The sequence below is a fragment of the Homo sapiens genome, chromosome X (genome assembly GCF_000001405.40).
Source record: "Homo sapiens chromosome X, GRCh38.p14 Primary Assembly".
Lineage (NCBI taxonomy): Eukaryota > Metazoa > Chordata > Mammalia > Primates > Hominidae > Homo > Homo sapiens.
The window spans coordinates 48,342,891-48,361,031 of record NC_000023.11 but is presented as its reverse complement, the minus strand read 5'-3'; the positions used below and the strand labels follow the sequence as shown (position 1 = coordinate 48,361,031).

Sequence of the window (18,141 nt, the reverse complement as noted above, 5' to 3'; positions counted from 1 at the left end):
AACAACAATGAACTATTGATACACAAATATCAATATCTTGGAGAAATCTCCATGGAATTATGCTGAGTGAAATAAGCCCATAAAACATGATATACTATAAGATTTCACTTGTACAGCATTGTAGAAAAGACAAAATTGTGGAAACGAAAAACAGATTTGTGGTTGCCAGGGATTAGGGATGGCGGATGGGAGGAGAGTATTACTAAAAATGAGTAGCACAAGGGATAGCATTGCGGTGATGAAAATGTACTGTACATTTTTTTTTTCAAGAGGGATTCTCACTCTGTCTCCTAGGCTGTAGTGCAGTGGCACGCTCTCGAGCTCACTGCAACCTCTGCCTCCTGGGTTTGAGCTATTCTCCTGTCTCAGCCTCCCATGTAGCTGGGACTACAGGCGGGTGCCACCATGCCTGGTTAATTTTTGTACTTTTAGTAGAGACGGGGTTTCTCCATGTTGGCCAGGCTGGTCTCAAACTCCTGACCTCAAGTGATCTGCCCACCTCGGCCTCCCAAAATGCTGGGATTACAAGCGTGAACCACTGCACCCGGCCATGTTCTGTCTGTTTTTTTTTCTGAAATACAAGCTTTGTTTAAAATGTAAAGAAATATTAAAAGTAAACTTTTTTTTACAAATTATAATCAAGCACTCAAAACAATTTAGGAATGTTAAACACTAATTCTTAATTCAAAATAATGACATCCATAGACTATATCCTGGTGTTGGTCAATATAAAGTTTACTTAATATTAGTATTTTATAGGCCGGGCACAGTGGCTCACGCCTGTAATCCCAACACTTTGGGAGGATGAGGCGGGCGGATCACGAGGTCAGGAGATCGAGACCATCCTGGCTAACACGATGAAACCCTGTCTCTACTAAAAATACAAAAAATTAGCCAGGCGTTTTGGTGAGCACCTGTAGTCCCAGCCACTCGGAAGGCTGAGGCAGGAGAATGGCGTGAACCCAGGAGGTGGAGCTTGCAGTGAGCGGAGATCGAGCCACTGCACTCCAGCCTGGGTGACAGGGTGAGACTCCGTCTCAAAACAAAAACAAAAACAAAAACAAAACAAAAAAACTAGTATTTTTTATATGCTTAACCATTGATCGTTCCTAAAATTCAATGAAAACAATGATTTGACTTTATAAGGTGAAGCCTTTTATGTAATACGCTAGAGATATCTTTTTCAAATACAAAACCTTTATACCAGCAAGGAAATTATAAAAGCATATATAAAGTATACTGAAGGATGTGATTTAAAGGCTGTCTGTATATACAGATGCATTTCACCTTATAAAGTACACGTGCACATCAAAACACTTTCACTGAATATAGATGCCATTACATTCTCTTAACACTACAAAGCAAATGTCAGGTTCATAAACATTGTCCTATTATGTATCAACTGAAAAAACATATATACACAAAAAGATTTTGAAGACACATGGGAGTGGAATGTGCCTACATTTAGAGCAGAGCTTTTACAGGACCACCTGTCTCCAGCCGGCTCCCAGGAACCACTGAAAACAGCTGCTACCCTCAGAACGGCAAGATGGTCTTGTTAATGATTTCACTGGACTCTCGAATCTCATCCTCCTTGATCACCAGCAGAGGCGAAACCTGATGATGTCACCATGGGTGGGCTTGGCCAGAAGTCCATAATCTCGAAGTCATAGACACACCTCCCAAGCATTACAGTCTATGGTTTCTTTAATAACAATAGCATTTAATAATTATTTTCCTCCCGGGCACAGTGGCTCACGCCTGTAATCCCAACACTTTGGGAGGCTGAGGCGGGTGGATCGCCTGAAGTCAGGAGTTCGAGACCAGCCTGGCCAACGTGGCGAAACCCCGTCTCTACTAAAAATACAAAAATTAGCTGGGCATAGTGGTGCATGCCTGTAATCCCAGCTACTCAGGAGGCTGAGGTAGGAGAATCGCTTGAACCCAGGAGGCAGAGGTTGCAGTGAGCCAAGATTGCACCATTGCACTCCATCCTGGGCAACCAGAGTGAACCTCTGACTCAAATAATAATAATAATAATAATTCTGTTCCTTTTATGGCAGTTACAACATCAGAAGGTAGCTTCATGGGTTCACTTCTCACGATAATACCCATTTTTTTTCTGCATTTTCAGCAAGATTTTCTTGTTCTAAAACCTCAAGGGCTGCGATGGTCACTCAGCAGCCTAGTGGATTGCCACCGTATGTGGACCCATGTTCCCCTGGCTTAATGCTCAGCATTAAGCCATCATCCCACAGCACTGCAGACACAGAGTATCAACCTCCAGAAAGGGCCTTTCCAAGGAGGACTATATCAGGTCTGACATTTTCATGATCAACAGCCAGCCATCTACCAGTTCTGGCCAATCCTATCTGTATTTCATCAGCAATGAACAGAACCAAGCTGGGAGCACGAGATGGGACAAGGGTAAGTTAAAATACCACAAAGCTCCCTGTTCTTACGGAGATTCCGCTGATCTCTCTCTTGCTCTTTCTTTCTTTTTTTTTTTTTTTTCAGTCTTGCTCTGTCGCTCAAGCTGGAGTGCAGTGGTGTGATCTCAGCTCAATGCAACCTCGGCTTCCCAGGTTCAAATCATTGAGTGAGCCCAGGAGGTCAAGACCAACCTGGGAAACATAGCAAAAGGCAGGGTAGTGCATGCCTGTAGTCCCAAGGCCGAGGCGGGAGAATCACTTGAGTCCCGGAGGTAGAGACCAGCCTGGACAACATAGCGAAACTGTCTCTAGTAGAAAAATTAAAAATATTAGTGGGGGCGGGGTGGTGTGAACCTGTAGTCCCGAGGCCAAGGCAGGACGATTGCTTGAGCCTAGGAGGTTGAGGCCAGCCTGGCCAACATAGTGAAACCCCATTTCTACTAACAACAAGAACAACAAAAAAATAGCGTGGGTGGGGTGGCTCACTCCTGTAGTTTTGAGGCCAAGGTGGGAGGATTGCTTGAGCCCAGGAGGTTGATACCAGCCTGGCCAACAAAGCGATAGCCTGCCTCTCCTAAAATAAATAAATAAATAAATAAATAAATAAATGAAAATAAAAATGAGCAGGGCAGAATGGCACACGCCTATAGTCCTGAGGCCAAGATGAAAGCATCATCTGAGCCTAAGAGATTGAGGCCAGCCTGGGCAACATATCGAAACCTGGTTTCTACTAAAACGAAACAAAACAAAACAAAAAATAGCTTGGGCAGGGTGGTGCGTGGCTGCGGTCCTGAGGCAGGAGGATCCCTTGAGCCCAGGAGCTTGATGCCGGCCTGGCCAACATAGGGAAACATGGTTTCTACTAAAAAAAAAAAAAAAAAAAAAAAAAAAATCGTAGGCAGGGTAGTGCATGCCTGTAGTCTCGAGGCCATGGTGGAAGAATGCCTTGAGCCCAGGACGATGAGACCAACCTGGCCAATGAGACCAGCCTGGCCAACATAGCAAAACCTGGTTTCTACTTAAAAAAAAAAAAAAAAAAAAAAGCGTAGGCAGGGTGGTGAATGCCTGTAGTCCCGAGGCCGAGGTGGGAGGATCGCTTGAGCCCAGGACGTCAAGACCAGCCTGGCCAACACAGCAAAACCTTCTCTATTAAAAAATCAAAAAATAAAAAATATTAGTGGGGGTGGGGTGGTTTGCGCCTGTAGTCCCGAGACAGAGGCGGGAGGATTGGCCAAGGCAGATGTAACCAATACCACAATCACATCCCATAAGTAAATACATTTTCCTCTCTCCAGGGCTACAGGTAAAGGATGGTAATTCTGCACACCACACTTAGATTCCCTTTCAAAAATGTAAGCAGAGGTTGGAGGGCCTTGGACTGTTTTTTCAGTGGCAACAGATATAGAAGCCACTGAAGAATGAACTCCACGACTAATTATAGCAAACCTCCGCAAATGTGCTAGTTTGGAAAACATTGTGGCTTTCAAGTAGAAAAATCACAGATTGACTATTTTTTTCTTCCCACAGTTCAGACTAGAATCCAGATTTTTAACCCAAGATCCAGGAACAGTCTTCAGAGAGATCAAAATCTGACGGCGCCTGAGGACCACCCACTTTTTCGCAGTGGCGACAAGGTGTGGCTGGAGGAGGAGACATTATTCTGCAATGTCGCTGCCCAAGGATGATGGACCAATCAGGGCAGTTAGTGAACTCCATCTGGCCAATTAGAAGTCAGAACAGTAGGCGGAACAAGCGAAGCGGATGTGGCTTCTATCAGTCCCGGCTCCAGGGACACAACCTTCTCAAAGTGGGGGTGGAGACTCTAATTTTCCCGCCTAAAGCATCCCCTGGGATTCGCTACTTTAAGTTCAGAGTACGCATGCTCTGATTTTCTCTCTCTTTCGATTCTTCCATACTCAAGAGTACGCACGGTCTGATTTTCTCTTTGGATTCTTCCAAAATCAGAGTAAGAATACACTGATTTTCTTTTTCCATTCTTCCTACCCCTCCCCTCCTCCGTGGTGCATTTGCTATCTAGTTTTAATAAGGAGTGTATATGAGGCAGGCCGCCATCTTAAATCTTTCCTGTCAGTTTCTAACCGCCATCTCAAATCTTTCCTGTCAGTTTCTAACTTTTTCAGGTATGGGATTTTTCCTAGGAACTCTGTAGTAACTTAAGAAATTTGGGCCTGGGGTGGTGGCTTACACTTGTAATCCCTGCACTTTTGGAAGCCACAGCTGGTGGATTGCCTGAACCCAAGAGGCGGAGGTTGCAGTGAGCCATGATCACGCCAGTGCACTCCCGACTGGGCAACAGAGCGAGACCCTGTCTGAAAAAAAAAATCACTCAAATCTTTCCTGCTGGGCTCAAGTGATCTTCTCACCTAGGCCTTGGGACTACAGGCGCGCACCACCCCGCTTCTGCTAAATTTTGTTTGTTTGTTTTTTTTAGTAGAGATGGTTTTGCTACGTTTGTGAGCCTGGTCTCAAGCTCCTGGGCTAAGGCGATCCGCCCACCTTGGCCTTCCAAAGTGCTGGGATGGTACAGGCCTGCTCCACCAACCCCAGCTAACTTTTTGTTTATTTTGTAGACGGGGGTTTTGCTGTGTTTCCCAGCCGGGTCTCGACCTCCTGGGCTCAAGTGACCTGCACGCCTCGGCCTCCCAAAGTGCTGGGATTACAGGCCTGAGCCACTGCGCCTGGCTGATTGCTGCAACTTGAAATGCCCCACATTCTCTCTAAGTGATGGCGGGCTCTTGTAGTCTCAGAAATTCTAGCTCTCTTCGTTCTAATAACTTACAAATCACCCAGTAATAGCCTCTGAACACATTCATATTAGCGATGCTCATTTCTCTTCAGCAGAACAGAACCCCCCATCCCTCTGCCTGATCAGATCCATCACCAAAGAGACCACGTTATCTCTGGGACTAACTTCCCTTCCTTTATTTATTGAGCGGGGGTGTCAGCATGCCCCACTGAATAAAATTACACAGTCATGTCCCTGCCTCCCCAACAAGGGTCCATACATCTTTCAGGGGAAGCCTAGCTCCAGGGAAATTACTAACAACATTAGCCAACCCCCTCCCAAAGACTCAAGGCTGCTTTGCCCATAGGAAACCTGTCATCCCCTATCAATACTTCTCCCAGAGACCCCTGGTTCCTGGTTTTCGTCTGATTTCTCCCCATATCCTTACTCAGGGACAGATAAGCCCCGGATGGAGAAATGCAGCACCTGATTCCAGGTGACTGAGTGGCCGGCCTTCACTGATTTCTCCCTCCACAAGACCAAAGGTCCTGCGGCTGGAAAGTCTCAATCTGTTTCTCTTGCAGGTCAGACTACTCCCTGTGCCATGAACGGAGATGACACCTTTGCAAGGAGACCCACGGTTGGTGCTCAAATACCAGAGAAGATACAAAAGGTGAGGTGACCTAGAGGGAGCAGAGTAGTGACCCAGGGGACAGTGTGGGGTGACCCGGTTTCTGAGGAGGGGAGGACAGAGATACTGGAGACAAGGAGCAGGGTCTCAGGGGAGATCTGGACCCTTGGGAGCCTCCCACCCTCACTCTGTCATCACCTAGCATCCCTGGAGACAAGTCTGTGACCTTGCACTACATTTGGTGACTCTCAGTCCATTCTGGAAGGTGGGAGGAGAGCCAGCCAGCAGCATTAAAGCCCGACAGTGTGGCAGGGGTGAAGCTAGGAAGGTCCCTCATGTTCTGTCAGTTAGCCGTGGCATCAACCAGGAAGGATTATCCCCACTTCCCAGATCCAGCACACAGGAAGCGACTCCAGCTGAATGGCAGACATGCCTAGCTGAGTCCCTGCCATAATTCCTTTTTTTTTTTTTTGTAGGCCTTCGATGATATTGCCAAATACTTCTCTAAGGAAGAGTGGGAAAAGATGAAAGTCTCGGAGAAAATCGTCTATGTGTATATGAAGAGAAAGTATGAGGCCATGACTAAACTAGGTAACAGAAAGTTCTAGGTACAGACAAGTCTGGGGACACATGAGCATCCCTTTTCCTGCTTTGGCTATTTCTTAGGCTGCAGAAAGTACCTCACATTTTCCTTTTGTGTAGGGAAAAATCGCAAGGCAGCTTCTGGGTGTTCTGCTCTTCTATATCCTGTCAGGGCTGAGGGCAGTGACTGGCCACAGTGGAGCTCATACCTGGATCCTGCACGTTTCTCTCTCTTAGGCTTCTGTTCTGATGAGCCCAACTGTCTCTGTGGCATCCCGGCAACCATCCTACCCCCACCCCACACACACCCACTCTACCTTCTCTCGGCTTGTCTCTTTCTTTTTTTTTTTTTTTTGTTTGAGTCAGTCTGAATCTGTCACCTAGGCTAGAGTGCAGTAGTGCAATCATAGCTTACTGCAGCCTTGAATTCCTGGCCTCAAGCAATCCTCCAGCCTTAGCCTCCCAAAGTGTTGGTACTACAGACATGAGCCACCGTACCAGGCCCAAGCTTGTCTCTTAAGGAATAAACATTTTGCTTCTTTCTAGGTTTCAAGGCCATCCTCCCATCTTTCATGCGTAATAAACGGGTCACAGACTTCCAGGGGAATGATTTTGATAATGACCCTAACCGTGGGAATCAGGGTGAGTAGATGGGAAGGGGCTGGAAAGGGTCTCCTCAAGCCCAATTGCTTTTCAGCTCAGCTACCTGGGAAAGAGCCTCAGGCATTTGTTCCCTCATACACATCGGGGCAGAGTGAAAAAAAAAATTGCATGCAGAAAGTTAACTACAGAGGTCATTCATATAAAATTTTAAAACATGCAAAAGAAGAATATATATTTTTATGGATAATAAGTAAATGGTAAATGTATACAAACATGAATGTGAATAAAAAGCCATCAAACTAAGGTGACTGGCTGTAAGTGGAGGAGGGAGGGAGGGCAGGGATTGCTGAGTGCTGCACAGACAGCTTCAGCTGTGACTTGTTGATAGTGTGTTTTGTTTGTTTTTGTTTTTGAGATGGAGTTTCACTCTTCTCGGCCAGGGTGGAGTGCAATAAGGCAATCTCAGCTCACTCCAACTTTCACCTCCTGGGTTCAAGTGATTCTTCTGCCTCAGCCTCCCGAGTAGCTGGGGTTACACGCACGTGCCCCCACACTCAGCTCATTTTTTAATTTATGGTAGAGACGGGGTTTCACCATGTTGGCCAGGCTGGTCTCAAACTTCCTGACCTCAGGTGATCCACCCGCCTCAGCCTTCCAAACTGCTGGGATTACAAGTGTGAGCTACCACGCCCGGCCTGTTTGCAGTTTTTCTAATATTCTGAATAAATAAATCAGACCTAACTTAGCTGTGGGGTAATGTTGAGATCCGACTGGACTCAATATTATTCCCCATACTTTTCTGTGTGTTTGAAATATTTCTTTTTTAAATGACATGTTGTTCTTCCTAAGCACTGTTAATGTATCAAAGGACAGTTAAGAAAATGTTACAAGTGAAAAAAAAAAAAAAGAAAGAAAGTGTTAAAACTGTAGATCCGCCAAAAACTTCCAGAGGTTGTTTCATTAACAGCATGTAGGTATTGGATAGGTATCTTAGGAGTGAGGTTGATGAACACATTATGTAATAAAGATCGCTGTTTCTCTGTATTTTATCAAAACCAAATAGTCTTCTCATTCCCAAATAACCCTGATTCTCTGTGATGAGCTTGAAAGAGAGTTTGAAAGAGTGATCCCTTATCGAAAACACAGAGAGCTTTCCCACTTGTCAGAGAACAGAGATAACATAGGATGAAAAAAAGACAGGTTCTTGGGTAGAGAGCTTTGTGCATTTCAGGAAAATAAAGGGGACATATGTATTTACTTGCTCTTCTACTCTGACAACATAATTATAAGACAAGGTCAGAATGTCCAAACCGTCTCCAATAGACCTATTACTCGCCAACTAAACAGGCCAGATTCTACAATCTCCCGCAATCACTATAAGAGATCTGAAAAGCCAGTGCTTGAGTATCTGCCAAGTTTTTAACGTTAAAGGACTGTCTTTGTACTGAAAATCTTTCAGAGCCACTGGACCAAATCATCCGTGGTTCACCACACATTTAACAGCTTAATTCACATACCATAAGATTCACCCATTTGAAGTGTACAATGATTTTCAGTTGTTGCACATCTTGAGTGGATACAGTTCAGATTCCTAACCAATCAATTTAATTATTTGGGAAAAAGTAAAAGATATGTAATCGAATAAGATGAGACTGTGATGGGGTGTAGTCCCCATGTGATAAACCATGAGATGGAAAATTCTGAATTGATGCCACAGATAAATGCATCAACCATGACTAAACATAATTCAGAAGCAAATCTGAAATAACTCCTCAACAATGCGTGGACTCATAAGCCTCTGCTGCAGAATACCCTGATGCGACAGAAGTCTCTCTAGAGTTTGGAAACCTTTACCAACAATGAAAAATTCTGATGTATTCTCTTTCAGTTCAACGTCCTCAGATGACTTTCGGCAGGCTCCAGGGAATCTTCCCGAAGGTGAGTATCTTTCAGATCTAAAGGACCAGAGAACCTTTGTCCCTCCAAGGATGCGAACACTGGTAAGAGTGGGAGAATATCAACAATGCCCTCACTGCCTTCTTCTCCCCATGTCTATCACAACACCTGATGTAGCACCGACGGCTTGATAGTACCAACATTTGTGATTGTTCATACCTCTTTTGTTTTCATAGTGATGCCAGATACTATTTCAAGCAGTTCACATGGATTAATTTATTTAATCCTTAAGAAGACATTGTTTCTATTATCTCCGAATAATAATGAGTAACACATTTCAGTTTTCATCCATATGATAGCCATATGACTTGGCACAAATCTTCTGAGTTCTCTGAGCTCCAGATTCCTGGTCCATGAAATGGAAGTAAAGAATTATAGTTTATGTTTTAGATCATAGTTATCAGCAACATAATAATAAAATGAGGCTATCGTGGTACAGAGATGTTAAAGAATTTTCCTGAGGCGCAGTGTCAGTGGTAGTCTAATCCAGAGCTCCAAGCCATTTAAAGCTCATTCACGTTTGCATTTGTTTATGAAGTTCAGATGTTGCTCACTAGGGCTTCACCCCATAGGGCCTGCTGGTGCTTCCATTGAGACACCCACTCTCGCAACAGGAAGGACCATCTGGTCTCTGCTGTGTTACTGGGGCCACTTGCATGGCTTAGGAATCGCTTTGATTGTTGGCCCCTCCCTACTGTGAGCTCCTTGAGTGCCTTGTCTGCACCTGGGGCGTCTGGGAAGCCCCAGTCCCAGCCCAGGGGATCCCTCGGAGGCCCCTGAATGAGTGATCCCACAAGTGCAGATTCAACTCTGGTTTGGAGGGTAAAGGGATCTGGGAGTTGGGTTGCCAGTGTGGAGACTGAATTCAAAGAAGGATTGTGAAAGGTATTAATTGTTATTATTACTACATTTAAAGAGTGTTTACAAGCTCAGAGAGCACTTTCTTGTAGCCTATTTTACATGTATGGTTCACTATTTCATAAGGGAGGAAGCTGAATTAAAAGTAGCTTAAGATCAGGGCGCGGTGGCTCACGACTGTAATCCCAGCACTTTGGGAGGCTGAGTCGGGCAGATCACAAGGTCAGGAGATCGAGACCATCCTGCCCAACATGGTGAAACCTCGTCTCTACTAAAAATACAAAACTTAGTGGGGCGTGGTAGTGCCTGCCTGTAGTCCCAGATACTCTGGAGGCTAAGGAAGGAGAATCGCTTAAACGCGGGAGTCAGATATTGCCTTGAGCCGATATCATGCCACGGCTCCCCATTCTGGCGACACAGCAAGACTCCGTCTCAAAAAAAAAAAAAAAAAAGAAAAAGAAAGCAGCTTAAGATTGTTGGTCAGTACACATCCCAATGCAACCAGAATTGGTATGGGTACCACCTCACTGAATTCCACATTCAATTGGTGCCTCGGTAGGGTAGTATGTCATATCTGGTACTGCTTTGTTTGCTGCCTAGATTAATTTCAGCAAGCCATTTATTTCCCTCTCCCTTCCTTGTGTTCATCTCCCCACACCATCTTTCCCAGCAGTGTTTTGTCGCCTCCCTATGTTTTTACATTTACTCTCCCAGCAGCTGTCTACAAGCTTATATGGGATCCCTTGTATTTTACAGAACCTCTTCCCTTTGTAGACCTTGTGAATTCTTAGAATGCTACTCTTCTCCAAATCATCTGTATATCACACTCTCAATTAAATGGAGATTTTTGCTGTTTGCAAGAATGTGAGTCCTAAAAGAGTGGGAAGATAAGCATTCTATCCCTGGAAACCATATTCACTTAGGCCATTCCTTTCCCTTCTAACCTCCCCTCCCAGGTTTCTCCTAATTTAGGCCTGTGTAACTCTCCCAGTGTTGTTGAGAACATTGAATAAGCTAATGCATGTGAAGACCCTTTGTAAGCTCAAAAGCACTATAGAAATGTCACTGATACTATTTATCTATGACCTTCACATTATAAAGATCATGCCCAAGAAGCCAGCAGAGGAAGGAAATGTTTCGAAGGAAGTGCCAGAAGCATCTGGCCCACAAAACGATGGGAAACAGCTGTGCCCCCCGGGAAAACCAACTACCTCTGAGAAGATTAACATGATATCTGGTAAGAGGAAGCAATTCAGGAACAATCCCACTGGCTTCCCTGGCGACGTTCAGGTGTGTGGACTGGGTGTGTGGCATGGATCCCAGATAACCCTGGGTCCAGGCTGGGCTGAGGAGCTTGCCCAGCTCCAGATGAGATGTTAGACATGACTTCCAGAGACAGACTGGAGTTGTCATCCATATAAAAAAAAACCACGTGACTTGAGGAAAGTCTTCCAAATTTCCTCAGCTCCAGGTTCCTAGTCCATAAGATGGAAATAAAGAATCATAGTTCATAAATTGTTTGGAGACATTAAATTTAATCTAGAAGGCCTGATGACATGAAAGGTGCTCAAGCGATTCTATCTGTGATAACCTGGGATCATATCTTACTCAGCTCAATGCCTGTTACCCAATACAGGTGTCCTTCAGAGATACTGCAGGTTCGGTTCCAGACCACTGCAATAAAGTGAGTCACACACATTGTTTTTTGTTTGACAGTGCATAAAACGTTATGTTTACACTACAGTGTAGTCTACTAAGTGTGCAATAGCATTATGTCTAAAAATGTATATACCTTAATTTTAAAATAATTCATTGTTAAAAATGCTAACAATCTTCTGAGCCTTCAGTGAGTCACACTCTTTTTGCTGGTGGAGGGTCTTGCCTCGGTGTTGATGGCTGCTGGCTGGTCAAGGTGGTGGTTGCTGAAGATTGGAGTGGCTGTGGCAGTTTCTTAAAAGAACACAACAATGAAATTTGCCACATCGATTAGCTCTCCCTTTCATGAAGGATTTCTCTGTAGTATGTGATGCTATTGGATAGCATTTTACCCACAGTAGAACTCCTTTCAAAGTTGAACTCAATCCTCTCTAGCTATGAAAGTCCTAGATGGCATCTCCTTCCAATAGAAGGCTATTTTATCTACATTGAAAATCTGTTGTTTCGTGTAGCCACCTTCATCAGTGATCTTAGCTAGATCTTCCGGATAACTTGCTGCAGCTTCTCCATCAGGGTTTGCTGCTTCACCTTGCACTTTTATGTTATAGAGACGGCTTCTTTCCTTAAACCTCACGAACCAACCTCTGCTAGCTTCACAGGTTTCTCCTGCAGCTTCTTCACCTCTCTCAGCTTTCATGGATTTGAAGAGAGTTCTGGTCTTGCTCTGAATTAGACTTTGGCTTAAGGGAATGTTGTGGCTGGTTTCATCTTCTATCCTGACCACTCAAACTTTCTCTATTTGAGCAGTAAGGCAGTTTTGCTTTCTTATTCGTGTGTTCACTGGAGTATTAGTATTATTATTTCCTTCAAGAACTTTTCCTTTGCATTATATACTATTATTTCCTTCAAGAACTTTTCTTTGCATTCACAGCTTGGCTGTTTGGTGCAAGAGGCCTAGCTTTCAGCCTGTCTTGGCTTTCAGCATGCTTCCTCACTAATCTTAGCCATTTCTAGCTTGTGATTTAGAGTGAAAGGCATGCGACTCTTCCTTTCATTTGAACACTTAACGGCCATTGTAAGGTTGTTAATAATCCTCATTTCAGTATTGCTGTGTCTCAGGAAATAGGGAGGCCCAAGAAAAGGAAGAGAGACGCGGAACAGCTCATCGGTGGAGCAGTCAGAAGACACAAAACATTAATCGATTAAGTTTGTCATATTCTATGGGTGCAGTTCCTGGTACCCCCAAAACAATTACACACAACAGGGTGATTATAGTCAATAATAACTTAATTGTACTTAAAAAAACTAAAAGAGCATAAATGGATTGTTTGTAAGGCAAGGATAAATGCTTGAGGATGGATACCCTATTTTCCATGATGTGATTATCATGCATTGCATGCCTGTATCAAAGCATCTCATGTACCCCATAAGAATATACACCTACTGTGTACCCACAAAATAAAGAACAAAAATTATTTTAAAACACTAAAAAACAACAAAAACAATTTTAGTAATAATAGTAAAGCTCACTGATCACAGATCACTATAACAGATATAATAATAATGGAAAAGTGTAAAATTGGTGAGAATTTCCAAAAAAAAAAATTGCAGCATCTGCGAAGCAGTATGAACATGAAGTGCAACAAAACAAGGTATGCCTGTGTGGCTTTAACAAATACGTGCTGTATGAAATTAGGTATGGGGGAATGTTCCCGTAAGTGAAGAGGTTGGGAATCTAAGCCTGAGAAGGGAAGGAGCCAGAAGCTAAAACTTTAATTGGCATTTGGCCTATATTGGTGTGGGTCTAAGGTCTCAGCCTCTCTAAGCCAGAGAATGTGAAAAACTGGATAAAGAAGGCCCATGGGCACTTGGGAGGAAGCAGGCATCTCCTTTTTTTGAGTAAACAGAGCCTAACACTCTCCAACCTACCCAACCCTCACTTTCCAACTATTCTCCATCATAGGACCCAAAAGGGGGGAACATGCCTGGACCCACAGACTGCGTGAGAGAAAGCAGCTGGTGATTTATGAAGAGATCAGCGATCCTGAGGAAGATGATGAGTAACTCCGTAAGAGAACCTTCCACTCATCCCCTGCATCCCTGCAGATGTGCTATTCTGTTATGATACTGGCATCCCATCTGTCACTTGCTCCCCAAATCATTCCCTTCTTATAATTTTCTAGTGTACAGCATTGAGGCTGAATGATGAGATTTCCCATGCTCTTTCTACTCCCTGCCCTGTATATATCCAGGGATGCTCCCTACCCAGGATGCTGTGGGGTCCCAAACCCCAGGTCAGCCCTGATATGCGGGCCACACCTTCCTCTAGCCTAGGAATTGATAGCCCAGGCGAGGAAGTCACTGTGGCATGAACAGATGGTTCACTTCGAGGAACCGTGGAAGGTGTGTGCAGGTCCTGAGATAGGGCAGAATCGGAGTGTGCAGGGTCTGCAGGTCAGGAGGAGTTGAGATTGAGTTGTCACGTGGTGGGAACTCACTGCCACTTACTTTCCTTCTCTCTTCTTGCCTCAGCCTTGGGGATATGACACATGCCCATGATGAGAAGCAGAACGTGGTGACCTTTCACGAACATGGGCATGGCTGTGGACCCCTCGTCATCAGGTGCATAGCAAGTGAAAGCAAGTGTTCACAACAGTGAAAAGTTGAGCGTCATTTTTCTTAGTGTGCCAAGAGTACGATATTAGCGTTTCCATTGTATTTTCTTGAAGTGTGTCATTCTGTTAGATATTAACATTTTCACTGATGAGCAAGACATACTTAATGCATATTTTGGTTTGTGTATCCATGCACCTACCTTAGAAAACAAGTATTGTCAGTTACCTCTGCATGGAACAGCATTACCCTCCTCTCTCCCTAGATGTGACTACTGAGGGCAGTTCTGAGTGTTTAATTTCAGATTTTTTCCTCTGCATTTACACACACACACAAACCACACCACACACACACACACACACACACAGACACACACCAAGTACCAGTATAAGCATCTCCCATCTGCTTTTCCCATTGCCATGCGTCCTGGTCAGGCTTCCCTCACTCTGTTTCCTGGTCAGCATGTACTCCCCTCATCCGATTCCCCTGTAGCAGTCACTGACAGTAAATAAACCTTTGCAAACGTTCCCCAGTTGTTTGCTCGTGCCATTATTGTGCACACAGCTCTGTGCACGTGTGTGCATATTTCTTTAGGAAAGATTCTTAGAAGTGGAATTGCTGTGTCAAAGGAGTCATTTATTCAACAAAACACTGAGTGCGTCCTCGTGCTGAGCGCTGTTCTAGGTGCTGGAGCGACATCAGGGAACAAGACAGACAGGAGTTCGTGACCCCATTCTAGAGAAGGATGTTTGCAGTTGTTGGGTTTTATTTGTTTGTTTGTTTCTTCTAGAGATGAGAGTCTTGCTCTGTCCTGGCTGGAATGCAGTGGCATGATCATAGCTCAATGCAGCCTTGAACTCCTGGGCTCAAGCAATCCTCCCTCCTCAGCCTCCAGAGAAGCTGTGACTACAGGCATGCACCATCATGATCCACTAATTTTTTTAGGTTTTGTCAAGAAAGTCTTGCTCTGTTACCCAGGCTGGTCTCAAAGTCCTGGGCCAAAGCGATCCTCCCACCTTGGCCTCCTAAACTACTAGGATTACAGGAGTGAGCCACCATGCCTGACCCCCAGTTTTTATTTTGATAGAGACTATACATTTCAGTCCTGGAGCAGGATTCTGCAGCAGGTGTTTAGGCATCTTGGCCTTTGCTCTCTGAATGATTTCCGGATTCAAGGTCTGGGACAGTCCATTTGGGAGTATGTGGGAGGAGACACAGATGAAATCGTCATCTGGGGAACATGAAGGAATGAGGAAGATGTGTGCACTGTAGACCCTGTGATGGCCAGGGAATAGAAGAGTCCACTTAGTCTCCATGCAGGGGAGCAATCGGTACGAAAGTCCCCTGGACAGAAGCATGAGACTGCCCATCAAGGGTCTCACCAACCAGGGGCCTGGGGGCTGGGGTGGGGACGATGATTTGGGAATGGGACAGTTCTTTGTCACATGTACCATTGCACAGTGTGGAGGGGAAACAGTTGTGGGGAAGGGAAGGGCAGAGGGGAGTCTATTTTAGAACAAACCATTGTGTGTGAATGAAGACATCAAAGCTCCATTCACACACAATGGACTTGAAACACCAGCCCCAGGTGGAGGCAGAATTGGAGCAGTTTTGACCGTCCATGGCCCATTACCTTGGCCTTCTGGTTCTCTCCAGCCTTCGAAGGAGGACACTATCATCATTATGCCAATATAATAGATGAGAGACGGAGTTCCCGACAGATGGTAGGCGTCTTGTCTGAGGTCCCACAGCTGGCAGGTGCAGGAGGAGCTGTGTTTGGATCTCTCTGACTTCAGAAACTTTAAGGAGGACAGGTGTGTGTGGTGGAGGGAAGGGGAATTGAACAAGCCCCGGGCTCTGTCCCCAATCACAATGTGAAGGCTGTGGGTTCATTTACCGAAGACAAGGAGCCCTAGGAGAGAGAGAGTGCAGGGAGGGAGAGGCAGTCGTGGTCACAGCAGGGACAGTGGGAGACAGAGATATGCAGGGTGGGCAGAAGAGAGGCAGGCAAAGAAGCAGGGGAGACACAAAGCCACATGTGGGCTGTCACAGCCACCAGAGGGAGAGGGTGCCTGGAAGGAGGTTGTGGGGCTCCAGGAGCAGTAGAGGTTCCCCAGATCTGTGAGCATGCCCTGCCTGGCACTGCAGAAAGAGATGGCTGCCACCCAGGTCAGTGTGGACGTACCTCTACCTGTGTCTCAGAGGAAACAAATTCTATTTTATCCCAATATAGTTCTGTATTACACAACATTTGGCTACTAGATATCGAGAGCCTTATCCTCCAAGCAAATAGAGAAGAGGATACCCTAAAAGAGATACTTACTGAAGGATTTGATTTTTCTTTCTCTCTGGGATGATGGGATCCATAAGTTGGGTCCCCCAGCCCACAAGACAGGTGCCAGGAAGGGTAGCTGGAAGATTGTGAGTTATGACAGGGAACATTTTTCCTTAGGTTCCATGGGTATATAAAGCTCCTGACTATCTGTCTATCATGGATAGATAAAGAGTGAACACGGTCCCTTCTCCACAAATGTGTTTCTCTCCTTCATTATTACTGTAAAGGGCTGAAGTTACACCAAGTCCTGATATATTACTTTTTTTTTTTTTGACATGATCGCAGTCTGTCGCCCAGGCTGGAGTGCAGTGATGCAAGTACAGCTCACTGCGGCCTCGATCTCCCAGGCTCAAGGGATTCTCCCACTTCAGCTTCCGATCTAGCTGGGACTACAGGCACACGCCACCACACCCAGCTAGTTTTTGTATTTTTTTATAGAGACGGCATCCACTATGTTGCCCAGGCTGGTCTGGATCCCCTGGCCTCAGGCAATCCTCCTCCCTTAGCCTCCCAATCCCAATGTGCTGGGATGACAAGTGTGAGCCACCTCGCCAGGCCTTCACTTTCTTTAATGAGCAATTATCAGATTTTTCATCTTAGAGGCAAAAGTGGCTACTGCCAGCCAATCTGTCTGTGGTGTTGAAGGGGAATCTGGCTGATTCAGATGTTTCTAATGAACTTTTTTTTTTAAATTATACTTTAAGTTCTACGGTACATGTGCACGACGTGCAGGTTTGTTACATATGTATACATGTCCCATGTTGGTGTGCTGCACCCATTAACTCGTCATTTAACCTGAGGTATATCTCCTAATGCTATCCCTCCACCCTCCCCCCACCCCACAACAGGCCCCGGTGTGTGATGTTCCCCTTCCTGTGTCCATGTGTTCTCATTGTTCAATTCCCACCTATGAGTGAGAACATGCGGTGTTTGGTTTTTTGTCCTTGGGATAGTTTGCTGAGAATGATGGTTTCCAGCTTCATCCATGTCCCTACAAAGGACATGAACTCATCATTTTTTATGGCTGCATAGTATTCCATGGTGTATATGTGCCACATTTTCTTAATCCAGTCTATCATTGTTGGACATTTGGGTTGGTTCCTCTAATGAACTTTTAAATTAACCTACATGATGATTATCCTAAGGCCCTTTCCAGCTCCGTGTTTTTTTTGATTTAGGGTTTGGGGATTTTCAGAGGCTTTGTTACAAAGAGAATCTCCTGGGCGGTCGCGGTGACCCACTCTGTAATATCAGCACTTTGGGAGGCCAAGGCAGGCAGATCACTTGAGGTCAGGAGTTTGTGACCAGCCTGACCAACAGGGTGAAACCCCCGTCTCTTCTAAAAATACAAAAATTAGGCAGTAGTGGTGGGCTGGCCTGTGAATTCCAGTTACTGCAGGGAGTGAAGTGGGAGAATCCCTTGAACCTGGGAGACGGAGGGTGCAGTGAGCCGAGATCACGCCACTGCACTCCAGCCTGGCGACAGAGTAAGTCTGTCTCAAAAAGCAAACAGCATCTCTCGCCTACAGTGATTTGAGCTGTGGTCTTGTCTCCTTGGGTTTCTCTATCAGTCTGACCCCATCTACTCTATCTCCCAGGAATGCCTCAATATTTCTGGTGGACCGCTGACACGCTTTCCTATTTTCCTCTACTGTTAAGAATTGACCCTTGAAAACATTTTCTTCCCAGTTCAATGGAATGTTGAGTAGGGCACGGGATCTATCTGCCA

At 45.1% G+C, this 18,141-nt stretch overlaps 1 protein-coding gene and 1 pseudogene across 3 annotated transcripts; one reads left to right on the top strand and one right to left on the bottom strand.

Moving 5' to 3' along the window:
* LOC791093 (ornithine aminotransferase pseudogene) lies at positions 573 to 4,043 on the bottom strand (annotated as a pseudogene).
* Positions 4,329 to 14,605, top strand: SSX3 (SSX family member 3). Of its 3 annotated transcripts, NR_176964.1 has the most exons (9): positions 4,329 to 4,398; positions 5,763 to 5,851; positions 6,286 to 6,400; positions 6,938 to 7,033; positions 8,883 to 8,932; positions 10,910 to 11,045; positions 11,445 to 11,492; positions 12,584 to 13,532; positions 13,997 to 14,605. NR_176964.1 is itself a non-coding variant. In NM_021014.4 (8 exons), exons 2-7 carry the CDS (start codon positions 5,783 to 5,785, stop codon positions 13,526 to 13,528), a joined length of 567 nt encoding a protein of 188 aa, NP_066294.1. In that variant the 5' UTR covers positions 4,329 to 4,398; positions 5,763 to 5,782; the 3' UTR covers positions 13,529 to 13,532; positions 13,997 to 14,605. The 3 variants fall into 3 exon arrangements, 2 of the variants coding, with proteins under 2 accessions (NP_066294.1, XP_011542187.1); NM_021014.4 differs by lacking the exon at positions 11,445 to 11,492 and having other exon boundaries at positions 13,428 to 13,532; XM_011543885.3 differs by lacking the exons at positions 12,584 to 13,532; positions 13,997 to 14,605 and having other exon boundaries at positions 11,445 to 11,635.

What these genes read in the sequence shown, in the direction of transcription:
- SSX3 (NM_021014.4), top strand. Translation starts at nt 5,783, where the DNA reads ATGAACGGAGATGACACCTTTGCAAGGAGACCCACGGTTGGTGCTCAA. An exon ending in TACCAGAGAAGATACAAAAG is followed by an intron (nt 5,852 to 6,285) that starts GTGAGGTGACCT and finishes TTTTTTTTGTAG; the next exon opens with GCCTTCGATGATATTGCCAA. An exon ending in TCCAGGGAATCTTCCCGAAG is followed by an intron (nt 8,933 to 10,909) that starts GTGAGTATCTTT and finishes CACATTATAAAG; the next exon opens with ATCATGCCCAAGAAGCCAGC.